At 44.2% G+C, this 15,800-nt stretch overlaps 1 protein-coding gene across 26 annotated transcripts in view, besides 5 other annotated features; it reads left to right on the top strand.

Annotated features, from left to right (window-relative positions):
• Window positions 1-15,800, top strand: part of G3BP2 (G3BP stress granule assembly factor 2) — an 81,652-nt gene that overhangs the window by 40,276 nt on the left and 25,576 nt on the right. For 7 of the 26 annotated variants that reach the window (NR_174378.1, NM_001400022.1, NM_001400021.1 and 4 more), the window contains exon 1: window positions 10,751-10,954. The exons of 10 other annotated variants lie outside the window; for them this stretch is intronic. The gene's annotated coding sequence lies outside the window, so the exon portion shown is untranslated. Of the gene's footprint in view, window positions 1-10,566; window positions 10,712-10,750; window positions 10,955-11,004; window positions 11,144-11,267; window positions 11,350-11,460; window positions 11,657-15,800 lie in introns of those variants that run through there. 9 more of the 26 variants (NR_174376.1, NM_001400019.1, NM_012297.5 and 6 more) reach the window with 4 other exon arrangements.
• Window positions 7,961-8,937: an enhancer, noted in NCBI's record as "NANOG-H3K27ac-H3K4me1 hESC enhancer chr4:76600409-76601385 (GRCh37/hg19 assembly coordinates)". NCBI's record gives its function as "activates a minimal SCP1, AML or CMV promoter by ChIP-STARR-seq in naive H9 embryonic stem cells {active_cell/tissue: H9 hESC(naive)}" and the evidence as "EXISTENCE:reporter gene assay evidence [ECO:0000049][PMID:30033119]".
• Window positions 8,938-9,915: an enhancer, noted in NCBI's record as "NANOG-H3K27ac-H3K4me1 hESC enhancer chr4:76599431-76600408 (GRCh37/hg19 assembly coordinates)". NCBI's record gives its function as "activates a minimal SCP1, AML or CMV promoter by ChIP-STARR-seq in naive H9 embryonic stem cells {active_cell/tissue: H9 hESC(naive)}" and the evidence as "EXISTENCE:reporter gene assay evidence [ECO:0000049][PMID:30033119]".
• Window positions 10,652-10,941: an enhancer, noted in NCBI's record as "active region_21620". NCBI's record gives its function as "activates an Ori minimal core promoter by ATAC-STARR-seq in GM12878 lymphoblastoid cells {active_cell/tissue: GM12878}" and the evidence as "EXISTENCE:reporter gene assay evidence [ECO:0000049][PMID:35858748]".
• Window positions 10,894-11,871: an enhancer, noted in NCBI's record as "NANOG-H3K27ac-H3K4me1 hESC enhancer chr4:76597475-76598452 (GRCh37/hg19 assembly coordinates)". NCBI's record gives its function as "activates a minimal SCP1, AML or CMV promoter by ChIP-STARR-seq in naive and primed H9 embryonic stem cells {active_cell/tissue: H9 hESC(naive and primed)}" and the evidence as "EXISTENCE:reporter gene assay evidence [ECO:0000049][PMID:30033119]".
• Window positions 11,222-11,461: an enhancer, noted in NCBI's record as "active region_21619". NCBI's record gives its function as "activates an Ori minimal core promoter by ATAC-STARR-seq in GM12878 lymphoblastoid cells {active_cell/tissue: GM12878}" and the evidence as "EXISTENCE:reporter gene assay evidence [ECO:0000049][PMID:35858748]".

Genomic DNA, 15,800 nt, shown 5'->3' with positions numbered 1-15,800 from the left:
AGTGCTGGGATTACAGGCATGAGCCACCGCACCCGGCCTATTTATGATTTTTAATATCTTTTTCCAGTTCTGCTTATAGCAAAGCTTCCCTCTGGCACCCAAGGAATAATAACCTTCTTATTATTCCTTGAATTACTCATTGAAAGTCTCTTGGATTCTCCATAGCTCTTTGTTGCTTAGAGAAAAAAAAAATCCTCTGCTTCCAACATTGCCCTTACAAACACATTTTATCTAGGACTGCTTTCTTGTGCACAAAAGGCCTTTGGTCAATAACTTTTGGTTCTCTTTCCCTTTTCATGTCACCACCATAAACATGGGTATTTTACGGCATGGCTATGGAGTTAGGGGTCAGGCCCAGCAGGGATCACTAGATACCCAGCTAGAAAAAGGGAGATAACTGGGAGCTCCTGTCAGTTCTGAGCCAGACACTAGCAGCCAGGTAATTTACTTCCACAGCCAGGACTCACCTAGGTAGTGAGTCAACAGAGGCATATAGGTCAGAGTGGCAGTCCAGCAGGAGGATATAGATGTTTAAAAAGCCAGGCTTATGAACTAACCAGAAGTGCAGGTTACATCTTTATTCTTTTTTTTTTTTAATTGAGATGGAATTTCGCTCGTTGTCCAGGCTGGAGTGCAATGGCACAATCTCGGCTCACTGCAACCTCCACCTCCCAGGTTCAAGTGATTCTCCTGCCTCAGCCTCCCGAGTAGCTGGGATTACAGGTACACGCCACCACGCCCAGCTAATTTTTATATTTTTAGTAGAGACAGGGTTTCGCACCACGTTGGCCAGGCTGGTCTCAAATTCCTGACCTCAGGTGATCTGCCCGCCTTGGCCTCACAAAATGCTGGGATTACAGGTGTGAGCTACCGTGCTCGGCCTACATCTTTATTCTGAGGACCATTCCTGCCCTAGTTATAATCTCATGTATGCTTCCTGCTGAGGTAAAGCAGAGAGAAGTATTTTGCTGCCATGGAGCCAGATCCCCCAGTTTTGCTAGTCTAGACTCTACAAGGAAGTGGTTACACCTAGAAATGTGTGGGTGGAAAATGAGAGCTGATGCGGACCCTGCATGAGGGACTGGCTGTGTTCTGCTCCAGACTGGCCAAGGTAGAAGAAAGTCACAATGCGCTGTGTCTATCAGCTGCATGATTTCTTTCTTTCTTTTTTTTTTTTTTGAGACGGAGTCTCGCTCTGTCACCAGGCTGGAGTGCAATGGCGCCATCTCAGCTCACTGCAACCTCTGCCTCCCAGGTTCAAGCAATTCTCCTGCTTCAGCCTTCCAAGTAGCTAGGATTACAGGCACACGTCACCCACCATGCCCAGCTAATTTTTGTATTTTTAGTAGACACGGGGTTTCACCGTGTTGGCCAGGATGGTCTCGATCTCCTGACCTCGTGATCTGCCCGCCTTGGCCTCCCAAAGTGCTGGGATTACAGGCATGAGCAACCGTGCCCAGCCCAGCTGCATGATTTCTTTATGGAGATCTTTTCCCAATGAGAAGTTTCACAACTACCAAGTTTTCTGTCTGCTGATGAAAGCCCTGTATTTTCCATACAGTTGATTTTTTACTACCCTGAATAGTTTTATAACCTGGGAGCTGAACGAAATTAATAAAACACATTTGCTTTCAAAAGTACTACACTATTCCTCCCCCTTCGAGTTACCCATGTTCAACTGCTATCCAAAAATATTACATGGAAAACTCCAGAAATAAAGTTCATAATTTTTTTTTTTTTTTTTTTTGAGACGGAGTCTCGCTCTGTCACAAGGCCGGAGTGCAGTGGCACAATCTTGGCTCACTGCAACCTCTGCCTCCCTGGTTCAAGGGATTTTCCTGCCTCAGCCCTCCCGAGCAGCTGGGACTACAGGCGTGTGCCACCACACCCAGCTAATTTTTGTATTTTTAGTAGAGACGGGGTTTCACCATGTTGGCTAGGATAGTCTCGAGCTCTTGACCTCGTGATCCGCCTGCCTCGGCCTCCCAAAGTGCTGGGATTACAGGCATGAGCCACCGCACCTGGCCAACAGTTTATAAGTTTGAAAGTGCACACCATTCTGAGTAGTGTGATGAAATATTGCACCTTCCTCTGTCATCCCACCCAAGATGTTAATCATTCTTGTCCAGTGTATCCATGCTGTCTGCTCTACCCTCTGGTTGGTCATGTCATAGCCTTCTCAGTTATCAGATCAACTATCCCAGTTTCACTGTGTTTGTGTTCAGGTAACCCTTACTTTACTTAATAATGGCCCCAAAGTATAAGAGTAGTGATGCTGGCATATTGTTATAATTTTTCTTTTTTTTTTTTTTTGAGATGGAGTCTTGCTCTGTTGCCCAGACTGGGGTGCAGTGGTGCGATCTTGGCTCACTGCAACCTCCGCCTCCTGGGTTCAAGCCATTCTCCTGCCTCAGCCTCCCGAGTAGCTGGGACTACAGGCACACACCACCACGCCCGGCTAAGTTTTGTATTTTTAGTAGAGACAGGGTTCGCCATGTTGGCCAGGCTGGTCTCGAACTCCTGACCTCAGGTGATCCACCTGCCTCAGCCTCCCAAAGTGCTAGGATTACAGGGGTGAGCCACCACGCCTGGCCTGTTATAATTTTTCTATTTTATCATTAGTAATTGTTAATCTCTTACTGTGCCTAATGTATAAACTTTATCGTAGGTATGTATGTGTAGGAAAAAACATAGTATATATAGGGTTTGGTATTGTCTGGTGTTTCAGGCATCCACTGAGGGTCCTGGAATGTACCCTCTGCAGATAAGGGGGGACTACTATATATCCTTTTCCTCCTCCTTCTGAATTTGACTATATTTATTTATTTATTTATTTTTGAGACGGAGTCTCGCTCTTTCGCCCAGGCTGGAGTGCAGTGGCACGATCTCGGCTCACTGCAACCTCTGCCTCCCGGGTTCAAGCGATTCTCCTGCCTCAGCCTCCCGAGTAGCTGGGACTACAGGTGCATGCCACCACGCCCGGCAAATTTTTATATTTTTAATAGAGACGGGGTTTCACCATGTTGGCCAGGCTGGTCTTGAACTCCTGACCTCAGGTGATCCACCCACCTTGGCCTCCCAAAGTGCTGGGTTACAGGCATGAGCCACCACGCCTGGCTGAATTTGACTATATTTAAGAGAAAGACTTAGGCCACGGTTTTTCTTTTTTTTTTTTTAATTTTTTATTTATTTTTTGAGACGGGGTCTTGCTCTGTCGCCAGGGTGGAATGCAGCGGCATGATCTCAGCTCACTGCAACCTCTGCCTCCTGGGTTCAAGCTATTCTCCTGCCTCGGCCTCCCGAGTAGCTGGGACTACAGGCACATGCCACCACCACACCCAGCTAATTTTTGTATTTTTAGTACAGATGGGGTTTCACCATGTTGGCCAGGATGGTCTTGATTTCTTGACCTCGCGATCCGCCCGCCTCAGCCTCCCAAAGTGCTGGGATTACAGGCGTGAGCCACTGCGCCTGGCTAGGCCACAGTTTCTTTACACTGCCAAACAACCAAGTATTTGTCCCAAGAGGAGAGTGGGAAATGGAAGGATGGATGGGAAACCTGGCTAGCTGTCTATGAAGTTGCGTGGCACTGTGTTGGGGTCCCCTGATGTTGAAGGTTTGCCTCGGTTTTATAACAGGAATCATGCACATATACACACTTTGCCAGAAAGTATGCTAAATGCCATAAAGAATCTTCAGAACAATCCTAAGTAGGCTGTTTATCCACTGAGGAAAGTCAAGGTCAGAGGAATGAACTAACCTGACTAGTGTCACAGAAGTAGTTAGTGAAGAAAATGCGATTTGATCCCATGTGTTTCATGCTTCTATATTTAAGTGGAGGATTTGCTCTCAGCCCTGACTTCTTTCAGTACAACTTCCTATCCCCCCTCAGAAGGAAATCTGTCTCTGACACACTCTTTTATATTAACTTAATCTATAAGAGACTGATGAACAAACCACAGGAATTCCATTTCACAAAGGGATATGCCATCCAAAGACATAGAATATCTGCTGATCAGGCCCCCTTCTCTGTGTCACAGTGCTTGGTGAGGAGAGAATTGGATAACCTTGTGGCGTCTCATATCCAGACTGTAAGGCTTGAAGAATTAAACACACCCTGCAGCCCACTGAGGGCTAGGATATTCCTGCCTGACAAATATAGTCTATCTTGGACAGTGTGAGATAAACACTGGTGAAATATTTCCTCTTTTCAAAGTCATTTTCTGGATTCAGGGCAAATGCCTCCTCATTCATTTATGTTATCTTTAGTTGTTCTGCTTTCCAGGATTATTTTATCTCTGAAAAGCACCTCATTTACTCAGCCTGAGGTGCTTTTAGCTGGCATCATGGCTTCAAGAGTGTTAAATGGAATCCGTTAGAATTCACAAATTCAGGGTGGGTTATTTTCATAATTGATAATCTGATTCTTTGTATGTTGATTTTTTTATGAGACTATTGCCTCTAAATTCTGAAGAAGTGACTTTCTTAGAACTTGCAACCTTTGTTCTCTCAAACTCAGGTAGCATGTAGAATCTCACCTACTTATAGACTTTCATAGATATGATCAAAACAAGTTACATACCTAAAATCTACCACCTATAGCAGTCATTCATATTGTGACATTTTGTACTTCATCACACAGATTGGCAGGCCATTTCATGCACTTTTCTGGATGTGAGACATATTTTACACACTCACAATGATTGGAGAGGAAAACACTCCTTTATACCCTAACCTGTCCCAGCCTCACAAACAGATAATGGCTGGAAAGATTGCAGGGAGAAATTAACATTTGATTCTTTCTTTAGGTCATAATAGGCTTTCTCCTCTCTTGCTCTAAAATGAATGGATTCATCCTACTCATGGGAGTAGGTTTCTCTGTGCATTAAAAAGCTTTGTAAAGGATCCAGTTGCACCAAGAGAGAGCCCTGGGATTCTCAAGTAACATGTTTTCAATCAGTAAGTCTTGTTCAAAGTCTATAAAAGTTCATCATTTAGCAGTAGGACATGGTGTAGTGGCATGAGTCAGAGGGACTCTGGGCTCTCTTTCTAAATTGGCCATTTTTAGCCTTGTGCAGCTTGCCTGCTTTGTGAATTGCTGTGAAATTGAAATGAGATAATGTGTTTGAAAGTGTTTTGAAAACTGTAAAATGCTATACAAATGTAAGTTGTTACTTCAGAACAAAGCAGTGGGCAGTCTGCGAAAAAGGAATCAGTTGAAAGCAATTGGTGCATATACTTTTTCAAGAACCAAACATTAAGTGCCGATGTTTATTGAGCACTTACCATGTGCCAGACACTGTTAAAATGTTTTACATGTATTGTCTAAACCTTACTGTACCCTAATAAGGTAGATATTATTATTGTCCCCATTTTACAGATGAGAAACACTGAGGCACATAAAAGTGAAACATCCTGCCTATAGTGATATACCTAGTAAGTGATGAGATAAAGCTGGGATTCAAATCCAGGCAGTGTGGTTCTGGAGCCCAGATTCTTTTTTATTTTTTTTGGAAATGGGGTCTTGCTATATTGCCCAGGCTGAACTCAAACTCCTGGGTTCAAGTGATCCTCCTGCTTCAGCTTCCCAAGTAGTGGGGACAACAAGCATACCCCATTGTGCCCAGCCAGACTCTTTAAATACTATGCTGTTGACAGCATTATCATTTGTTTTAGTCTATTTGGGCTGCTATAACAAAATACCTTTAGGTCAGGTGTGGCTCATGCCCGTAATCTCAACACTTTGGGAGCCTGAGGCAAGAGGATGGCCTGAGGCCAGGCAATCAAGACCAGATTGGGCAACATAATGAGACCCTGTGTACACACACACACACACACACACACACACACACACACACACACACAAGCTAGGCACGGTAGTGCACACCTGTGGTCCCAGCTACTCAGGAGGCTGAGAAGTCGAGGCTGCAATGAGCTATGATCGCACCATTGCACTCCAGCCAGGTGACAGACAAAGCAAGAACCTGTCTCAAACAACAACAACAACAACAACAACAAAACCACCCTTCAACTGGGTAACTTATAAACAACAGAAACTTATTGCTTATAGTTCTAAAGGCTGAGTAGTTCAAGATCAAAGGGCCAACCCTAGTGAGGGCTTGCTCTGCTTCAAAGATGGTGCCTTCTTGCTGTGTTCTCACATGGTGAAAGGGGCAAAAGCACAAAAGAGACTAATGAACTCCCTCAATCCCCTTTTATGAGCACACGAATTCCATTCATGAAGGTGAGGCCCTCATGACCTAGTTGCCGCCTGAAGGTCCCACCCACCTTTTAATACTTTTGCATTGGAGATTAAGTTTCAACATGAATTTTGGAGGGGCACATACATTCAATCCACAGCATCATCCTTCCTAACTGAATTAGTAGTGGGGCCAAGACATTTGTTTTGCAAGCCTTAAAAGTTTAAAAACATGGTGAGTAAAGACACTTTCCAAGAAAAATGCGTTTCCCTTAAGGACTTGGATTTTACTCCCTTCCAATGCTTGGTCTTCATAAACCTTATTTATGTGGGGTGTGTGACCCCTAAACATGCATGTAGTCATCTCTTTTTTTTTTTATTTTTTATTTTTTGAGACAGAGTCTCGCTCTGTTGCCCAGGCTGGAGTGAAGTGGTGCGATCTCGGGTTACCACAACCTCCGCCTCCTGGGTTCAAGTGATTCTCCTGCCTCAGCCTCCCCAGTAGCTGGGACTACAGGTGCGCACCACCATGCCTGGCTAATTTTTGTATTTTTAGTAGAGACGGGGTTTCACTATGTTGGCCAGGCTGGTCTCGAACTCCTGACCTCGTGATCCACCCACCTGGGCCTCCCAAAGTGTTGGGGTTACAGGCGTGAACCACTGCGCCCAGCCGCATGTAGTCATCTCGTATACACCTACTTCATCAGCAAAAGTGGTGATAATGGACTTGGTTGATCTTTTAGTATTCAGTAAAGTTGAGAATGGTCAAATGAAAGGGTGTAGAGGAAAAGCTTTATAAATTCAAATGTCTTATCTTATTCAAATACTTATCTAAGTATTTTATGCTGAAGTTTATAATAAAAATCAGGAATCAGGTAATATAATTCTAGTAATTTTACTTTTAAAAATTTACCTGCTAATGGTGATTGGGTCTGATTCATTTACTTTTATTTTTCACAGTGTTTTGATAAAGGTTCACATTAAAGGCCTTGGGGTGGTAATGTGATGAGAATGTCAAAGGAAGAGCTGGCTGGGGTGGTGTGAGAAAACCAGTGGTAAGAAAAGAAATGGAAGTAATAGGTAAGGACTAGATCAGGTAGGCCTTGTAGGCCATGGTAAGGACCTGAGATTTTGTGTTGCCTTTTAAAGGTTTTGGGACCATCTCAATTATAACTATGAAAGATCTGGCTGCTGTGAGGGGAACAGACTGTAGTGGAATAAGAGTGGAAGCATTGAGGCCAAGTAGAAAGCTATTGCAATAGGCAATGGTGGCCTGGACTACTATAGCAGCAGTAACAGTGATGCAAAGTATTTAATCCAGAATAAATGTTGAAGGTAGAGGGAACAGAAATGTATTGACAATTCGGCGAAGTGGGTGGATCACTTGAGGTCAGGAGTTCGAGATCAACCTGGCCAACATGGTGAAACCTCGTCTCTACTAAAAATAGAAAAATTAGATGGGCGTGGTGGCACATGCCTGTAGTCCTAGCCACTTGGGAGGCCAAGGCAGGAGAATGGCTTGAACCTGGGAGGTGGAGGTTGCAGTCAGCCCAGATCATGCCATTGCACTCCAGCCTGGATGACAGAGCGAGACTCCATCTCAAAAAAAAAAAAAAAAAAAAAAAATTATTGGCAATTGGCTGTCAATAAATTGGTGTGAGAAAAAGAGGTTTTTGGCCTGAGCCACCGAATGAATACCGTTCACACTGGTCTCCCTGCCTAGTCTATAGGAGGTGGACATTGCTTCATGGAGGCTATGTTTGAGAGGCAGGGAGATTAGTTAGGAGGCCACTGCAGTCTTCCTGGGAAGATGAAGGGGCCTGAACCTGGGCAGGGGCTATTTGTGTAGAGATATGTTTATGAGGTAAAAATCGCCAGTTAGAATAGGTTAGAGATATTTACTTAACATTGAAGATCGCTGAATCTTTTTTCCCATTAACTCCACTTATTGGTGTCTACTCAAGAGCAGGGTTACCTGAGGGCTGTTTCTGTGTAGCTCTAGAGCTAAACTAAAAATGTTTCTTAAATTTTTAAAGGATGCGAGAGAGAGAGGAATATGCAACAGAAACCATACGTGGCGCTCAAAACCAAAAATATTTACTATCTAATCCTTCCCTTATCAAACCGTTTGCCCACCTCTGCCCTAGATCAGTGGTGTTTGTTTTTTTTGAGACGGAGTTTTCACTGTTGTCACCCAGGCTGGAGTGCAATAGCGCGATCTCAGCTCACCGCAACCTCCGCCTCCCAGGTTCAAGCGATTCTCCTGCCTCAGCCTCCCGAGTAGCTGGGATTACAGGCATGCGCCACCACGCCCGGCTAATTTTGTATTTTTAGTAGAGACGAGGTTTCTCCATGTTGGTCAGGCTGGTCTCAAACTCCTGACCTCAGGTGATCCGCCCCCCTCGGCCTTCCAAAGTGCTGGGATTACAGTCGTGAGCTGCCGCGCCCGGCCTATATCAGTGGTTTTTAAAGTGTGGCTCCTAGAGCAGCAGTAGCACCATCAGCTGAGAACTTGTTAGAAGTGCAAATTCTCGGGCCTCTGTTGAATCAGAAACTTAGGGAGTGGGGCCCAACTATCTGTTTTAACAAGCCCTACAGGTGATTTCGGTGCACATTAAGGTCTGAGAACCACTGCTCTAGAGAAAGTTCTGCACCTCTGCAGGATACATGGTGAAGAATATTTATAATAGCATTGCACGGAAGAGCTCCAAACCGGAAACACTTGAAGGTTAGTCAGCAGTAGGGCAGATAAGTGAATTGCGGCAATTAGTACAATGGGAGTATTCTATAGTTTGCCTGAGGGTATGGACTGTGGAGGCAGATTGCCTGTGTTTGAATCCCAGCTCCAGTGAATAGTAGCAGTGTAGTCCTGGGTAAGTTACTTGACCTCTCCAAGCCTGTTTTCTCATCTATAAAATGGGCATAAAAATAGCAACTACTGGCCGGGTGCGGTGGCTCACGCCTGTAATCCCAACACTTTAGGAGGCCAAGGCGGGCGGATCACGAGGTCAGGTGTGTTCGAGACCAGCCTGGCCAACATAGTGAAACCTCGTCTCTACTAAAAATATAAAAATTAGTTGGGTGTGGTGGCATGCGCCTGTAGTCCCAGCTACTAGGGAGCCTGAGGCAGGAGAACCGCTTGAACCCGGGAGGCGGAGGTTGCAGTGAGCCAAGACCGTGCCATTGCACTCCAGCCTGGGCGACACAGAGAGACTCCATCTTAAAAAAAAAAAAAAAAAAAAAATATATATATATATATATATATATGTACATACATATAGCAACTAGCTCATAGGGTTACTGTGAGGCTCAGAAGGCTGTATAATTACAAGAATGCCTGGTATATAAGCCCAGTATATTAAAGGACAGCCGGCATGTAATGTATTTTGATGCTTTAAGGAAAAACATCAGGTTGATTTCATTAAAGTGATGGTCTGCCCAAATATTTTGCATATAACAGTATCTTTAAGCAGTCTAAAGGTAAAGATATTGTAGACTTTGGAGGCCCTAATGTTGGCATTGCCTCTGCCAATATTTAAGGTATTTGACGTATTGTCTTAACATGCCAAATACCTTAAAATTGCCCTTACAGGATTGCGAAGAAAACTGATGAGATGTACATGCTTGCGTCCACCATGTTTAGTTCGTAAGCATTCATTAATGTATTTTTTCCTTTCCGTTTCTTTGAACACTTCCTCAGTCCTTCATTCCAAAATTCCTGTGCTATCTCGGTATTCTCTGAAAACACTGCCAGACCTAAGATGCAAAGTGGCTTCCTTGACTACAAGATTTGGCTTGGCTTTGTCCATGAAACAAGGTCACCAGTGTCTCACCCTGGGGGCAAGTCTGGGCTTAGAGCTAGAACAGGACTGTAATCCTTGTATTTCAGGCCTTCTTTTAGCTTTAGTATGTAAAATGCTTTAGTATCTACTGATATTTAGCCATGCCTAAATTCGTAACAAGGACACAAAGAAATAGTCTTTTCCCCCTCTGTAAAGCCCACGTCATGTTCTTCCTTTACTGCAGGGCCTCTTAATGGGGCTTAAAACCTAGGATGGGTTAAGTAAACAATGTAGGTGAGTTTAGTGTGCAAACAGCTGAAATCACCGGCTGCATTTTAAGCTCGTCTACAGCAGCAACCTGCAGACACCTATTCAGAGAGATTACTAAATTCCCTCCTTCCCATTAATAAAAAGGACCAGAATATCAGTCTACAAAAGACACTGCGTTGCTGCGAACCAGCTCTCGCTTGCGCGATCAGGAAGAAGGGCGGCAAGGCTGGAGCCTCGGGACCGGAGAAAGGCAGCCTGCTTGTGACGTCAAATCAGCGGACTCTTATCTTGGCTTTAGGCCGGTTCCGGTTCCCCGGCTTTCCGGGCGCGAGCGTGTGCGAGCGCGGCAGCGTACTGCGCGTGCTCCGCAGAGGGACACGGGAAGGTTGGGTCCGGCTCTGGAGGAGATGCGTGATTGGCTGACGCTGTGCTCGGGGGTTCCCTGGCCCTTTCGGCAGGGGTAAAACAATAAGAGGGGGCGGTGGCAAAGGGGGCGGGACGTCCGTGGTCCTTGTCGCACGTCGCAGCGCCTGGCGCCCGGGAAGAGGTGGTTGTGAGGCAGACGAACTCGCGGCTCTCCGGCTTCCGAGGCTTCCGAGTTGTCGGAGGAAGGGGGCGGCGAGCAATAAGAACCCGCCGCACCCGGTCCTCAGCGACTCTTCTGACCTCCGCGCGACGTACCCGCCGCCGCCGTTGGCTGGAGGTGTGTACGGGCGCCGGGAGGGGAGGTCGGTGTGGTGGTCGGAAAGGGACATTCCATTCGCGCTCCGCGGCGCGAGGCAATCGTCCGGTGTGTGAGCCCGGGAGCCGGAGGTGTAGCGGCAGAGACATTGTTCTTGCCGGCTCCCTACGGTGCCGTGTGTGCGTGAGAGAAGACCAGTCTTTCCTCTAGGTGAGGGGTGGGAGGCCGCCTGGGAAGGGAGGTGACCCGCGAGCGTCTTGCGGGCAGAGGGCTCCGAGTGCACAGGTGGGGTTGAGGTTTATTGGGGATGAGGTGGCGAAGTGGGGGGGGAGGCACGCAGCAGCTCCCGAAGGCGCGCTGATGGAAGCTTAATACAGGAAGTGTGGGAGCAGGCTTTCTGGAGGGGATGTTTTAGGGTGGGTAGCCCACCGTTCCTGTTTCCGAATCGTTTTCGGCTCTTGTACCTTGTTCCTTCGGAGCGGAGAGGCCGTCGCCACCCCGCCCGTGGGGGGAGGGGAAAAGAGGTTGTGTCGACGGAGGCAGAAGCGACGCAGATGCGAAAGTGGCGGCCTCCGGGCACCATTTCTGTGCACGGAAACAGAATCCGGGTTTGAAGGCAGCCGCCGCTTCGCTTACCCAGTACCTAGTGTTCCGTCGTGTTTGACCAACCCCCCTCTCCCTGCCACCGCGGGTTTAATCCGAACGTGTTCGGATACTGGAACTGTAACGTGCGCCTTCTTCGTCCCCCTCTTATGCAGACGATCCCTTATTGACTCGGGAATGGCTTTTGGGGGATGGGTTCCCGCTTTTGTTGGGATGGGGGGACAGAAAGGAACAGAAGCTTCCCTAGATTGTGTTGATTTTGTTAGTGGAATCTGATAGAATTTTTCCTGCGTCTCTAAAAGCAGATTTCTTAAGATGGCCCTTTGCCGCTTTGGGGCGAATATAGATTTTCGTCTATAATTTCCTGCATAGATCAGCTTTTTTCCCCAAGACATACTTAATGTTCTAACGGATTTGGGGGGTGGGAGGAGAGTGCCTTTTCCTTCATAACAACAACAAAAAAAAGGCACTTGCACTTTTAGCTGGAATAGTAAAGTCCTGTTCTCCCTGTATGATTGTTGTGGGATATTAACTTGGATTAAGATACTGTGGTTTTAGGTTCAAGGCTCTGTACCTTGTTCTGGTCTTTCAAACGTTAGTGTTGCAGGTACCTGGATCTAGGAAACATTAACTGTCGTTAAGAGAGCCCCGGTGTACTAGAGTGGGAGATGATGGCAATTTTTCTCTAGCTCCATATTTGGCAGTTAATATAGCCTTAGGCATGTGAACCAAGTTTCTAAGTAAACTTTTGGCCCTGTTAGCATCCAGTGGTCTTTTTGATAATCCAAGATTCCTGGTCTTAGGAGATAAACGGTACGATGAGTTTGAACCTCAGGATTGAATTATCCTTTCTTTGGCAGTAACATTTTTCTTAAATGTTTAAGATTACTCTTATGGGCCTTTATGTTATGATTTAATCTTTACAAACTAATTCTGAAAAGCAGTCAAGGAATTGTAGGAATAATAAGGACCTAGAATGAATTTCTTACTAAGAGCTGTCATAGTTCAGATTGATATTCAGGGTCGAAATATTAGTAATAGTGAAAAAACATCAAGAGTGAACCAGAATGCTTGTGGGATGGATGGGGATAAAAATTAGAAGGTAAAGAAGAAAACACATTATTTGACCATTTCGTAGAGTAACTAACTTAACTGTTCAGTTAGCAGCTGAGCAGTTGATTTGTCAGCAGGCAACTCCTGGTTTGAAGAAAGTGTTGGCACTGTGTCTTTAGATTCTGAAAACTTCCCTCCTTATCCTGCAAAATTATCGCTGTTTATTACGCATAATTAGGATTGAACATTTTCCCCCTAGATTGCTTTAAAAAGACTTTCCACATATTTTGAGTGAATATGGAGACAGTGAATGACTCCTTTTCAATGTTGATTTTGAAAGGCACAAACTAAAGTGTTGCGTCTGAACTTAAATTCAGTAGAATTTAATGGACAAACATGACCTAGTTACTCTCCACTGGTAGACACTTGTTTTATATCCGATAGAATAAATTGGTCCACCCACCTTCAGGAAGGTCCTGGCCTACCTTCAGAAGCAATAGAATTAGTTTCTTGACTGTCGTGTTTCTGCTTACTTTTATCTGCTAATTTCCAAGTATTTTACCCTATCTTGAAACCATAGGTATATTGAAAATTATTCTTGGATTTTCTGTTGCTGTCCTGCTGTATTCCTTTGCTTTTCACTCTTCTCAACAGTTTCACATAAGCTAACAATTGCTTGTTTAAAATTAATTTTTTGTATTGTTGGAAGAGCTGGCTGCTCTTCCAAAGCGGTTGTTCCTAACCAAAGTGTAATGAAAACATCAGTTGAGTCAGGAGTCAGGAGACCTGATTTCAAATCCTCTTTCTTTTTACTGTAACTGAGGAACCCCAAACACCTTTCCTTAGGCTCTCTAAACATCCTTTTCTGTAAATGAAGATAATGCCCTATCTATTTTAAAGACAAAAGAAAATAGTAGGTTACTTGTTAAACTTTAAAACATAGTATAAATACATGCTTTATTTTTGTGGACAGCAAGCATTTCCATTTCTTACTGCTTGGTCACTTTTAATAGCTTCTGAATTTTAAAACTAGCCTCCCTCAACTTCTGAGAAGGACAGAAAACAAAAACACCTTTTGGAGCCTGAATAAGAGATTTAATCCATAACTTACTTTTATTATTTATTTGTACCACTATGATTCTTAGATCTTCTTTGTGAAGCTTTCATTCAATGGTGTACCACAAAAGATTGAAGGTCATTTCTTTAAAAAGGTATAGTGTTCCTTAGATTGTTTAAGTTACTTCAAACAAAAACCATCTGGAATTTCAGAAAGTTCCAGTATTAATATGCATTTAGCTGTTGGAAATGGATATAGTCCATGGTTCAATTAAAATAAATAAACCTGACTAGTTTGAGCCCAGCTATGAGTGAGGGACTCCAGAGGGGAAAGGGGTAAGTATCCTATAGTGGAGATAAGCTGTGTCTTAGCACCCACATAACCTTTGGTAACAGTATCTGGTAAAGAGAACTGCCTCCTATTACTAGAGGTCTTATTCTTTTTATAATAACTAATACCAAGTACTTACAACTCAGCTCACTGCAACCTCCGCCCCCGGGTTCAAGCGATTCTCCTGCTTCAGCCTCCTGAGTAGCTGGGATTACAGGCGCCCGCCACTGCACACGGCTAACTTTTTTGTGTTTTTAGTAGAGATGGGTTTTGCCATGTTGGTCAGGCTGGTCTCGAACTCCTGACCTCAGGTGATCCACCCATCTCGGCCTCCCGAAGTGCTAGAATTACAGGCGTGAGCCACTGCACCCGGCCTCTTTTTCCTTTTGTAGTTTCTGGTACATACATAGTAGCCATAAAATAAATGTTGAAATGAATTTATTTTGTATAACCCATTGACTCAGCTTGTGGATGGGAATGAATGAAGTAAGACAAAGGCGCAGAGAGTGAAATTGCAGAGAATAATATTAGGTGATTAAAATATTTGTATAGAATTTGATACAGGGATGAGAAAGTATAGTAGGAGATAAATTTGAAAGGTTGGTTATGACATTGAATGTCAGACTGGATTTCTGTGTAGGGCCTTAGATGCCAAACTGAATGCAGGTGTTTGGATTTTACTCAGTACAGTATATACTACACGTGATACAGGGGCTTGAAAGACTTTTGAAGAATAAAAGGTCTGAACAGTGGGAGTGAAAAGGAGGGCACAAATTCCACCTTCTGAATTGTAAGGATTTCACAGTTTAAGTGGCAAAGCTAAAGGGGAGAAAGTCACGACTGAGCTTTCAAGTTGAGAAGATTATGACACTTTTAACAGAAATAAGGAAATAGCTTTCTTTGGTGCATGCGTGTATTGGGACATATGTGGGTCATGTCTAGGTGTTCAGTATGTGGTGACAAATGTAAAATTTGAACTTATGGTATAGACTAGATACACGTTTAGGTAGACATGAGACCAGAAGCTGAAATTGCCAGGTTAGAAGACAGAACCTTGAGAAATTCTGCGTTTGGATGAGAAGGAAAATTTGCCTTATAGAACTCTAGAAGAGTTAGGAGGAGGTAGTCAACATTGATAATGCAGATGGGTGGAGGATTGAGAAGTCATTCGATTATTGAGAAGAATTGTGATGTTTCCAGAGAATTGCATTCAAAGGAGAGCTGAGTTATAATATTTGAGAGGGGAATAGAAGATGAAGACAGGTGTACAGTTAGTAATTTAGGGCAGAGCATGATCAATAAACTGCTATGATAAAGGCCAAAAGTGCTTTAAGAGTTAATAGAGAAGAGTTATATTCTGTTGAGGAATTCAGTAGGAGTAGAAAGATTTTCAAGGGGACAGGATTTCTGCTGGGCCCAGATAAATGCATAGGGTTTCAATCATTGCAGATAGGAAGGTGTGAGATGAGTATTGGAGGAGAAGTCAAAAGTCCTGCTTCTTGTTAACAGACTTTTAGGATCTTAGTGTTGGAATGGCCTAATCTTACTTTTTTGGATGTATGGACTCTACTATGTTTGTGCCAAACCATTCAGTTAGTCTCTGGAATACCTGTAGTGACTGGCTACTTGTTAAGTAGCTCTATTTGATATTTGGACAACTCGCGTTATTCTTGTGTTATGTTTCACCCAAATCTACCTTCTTATAATTTCCATTCACTATATTCAATTAGCAATCAACTCATTTTAGATATTACATCTAAATTAATGTAGCCTAAGATTGATTGTTTTGGAGGCAGCCCCATTATAGTAGTGATTCACTGAACT

Source organism: Homo sapiens, chromosome 4 (assembly GCF_000001405.40).
Source record: "Homo sapiens chromosome 4, GRCh38.p14 Primary Assembly".
In the NCBI taxonomy this organism is placed as follows: domain Eukaryota; kingdom Metazoa; phylum Chordata; class Mammalia; order Primates; family Hominidae; genus Homo; species Homo sapiens.
Note: the sequence above shows the minus strand (reverse complement) of the source record. Positions and strands in the feature narration are given on the sequence as shown.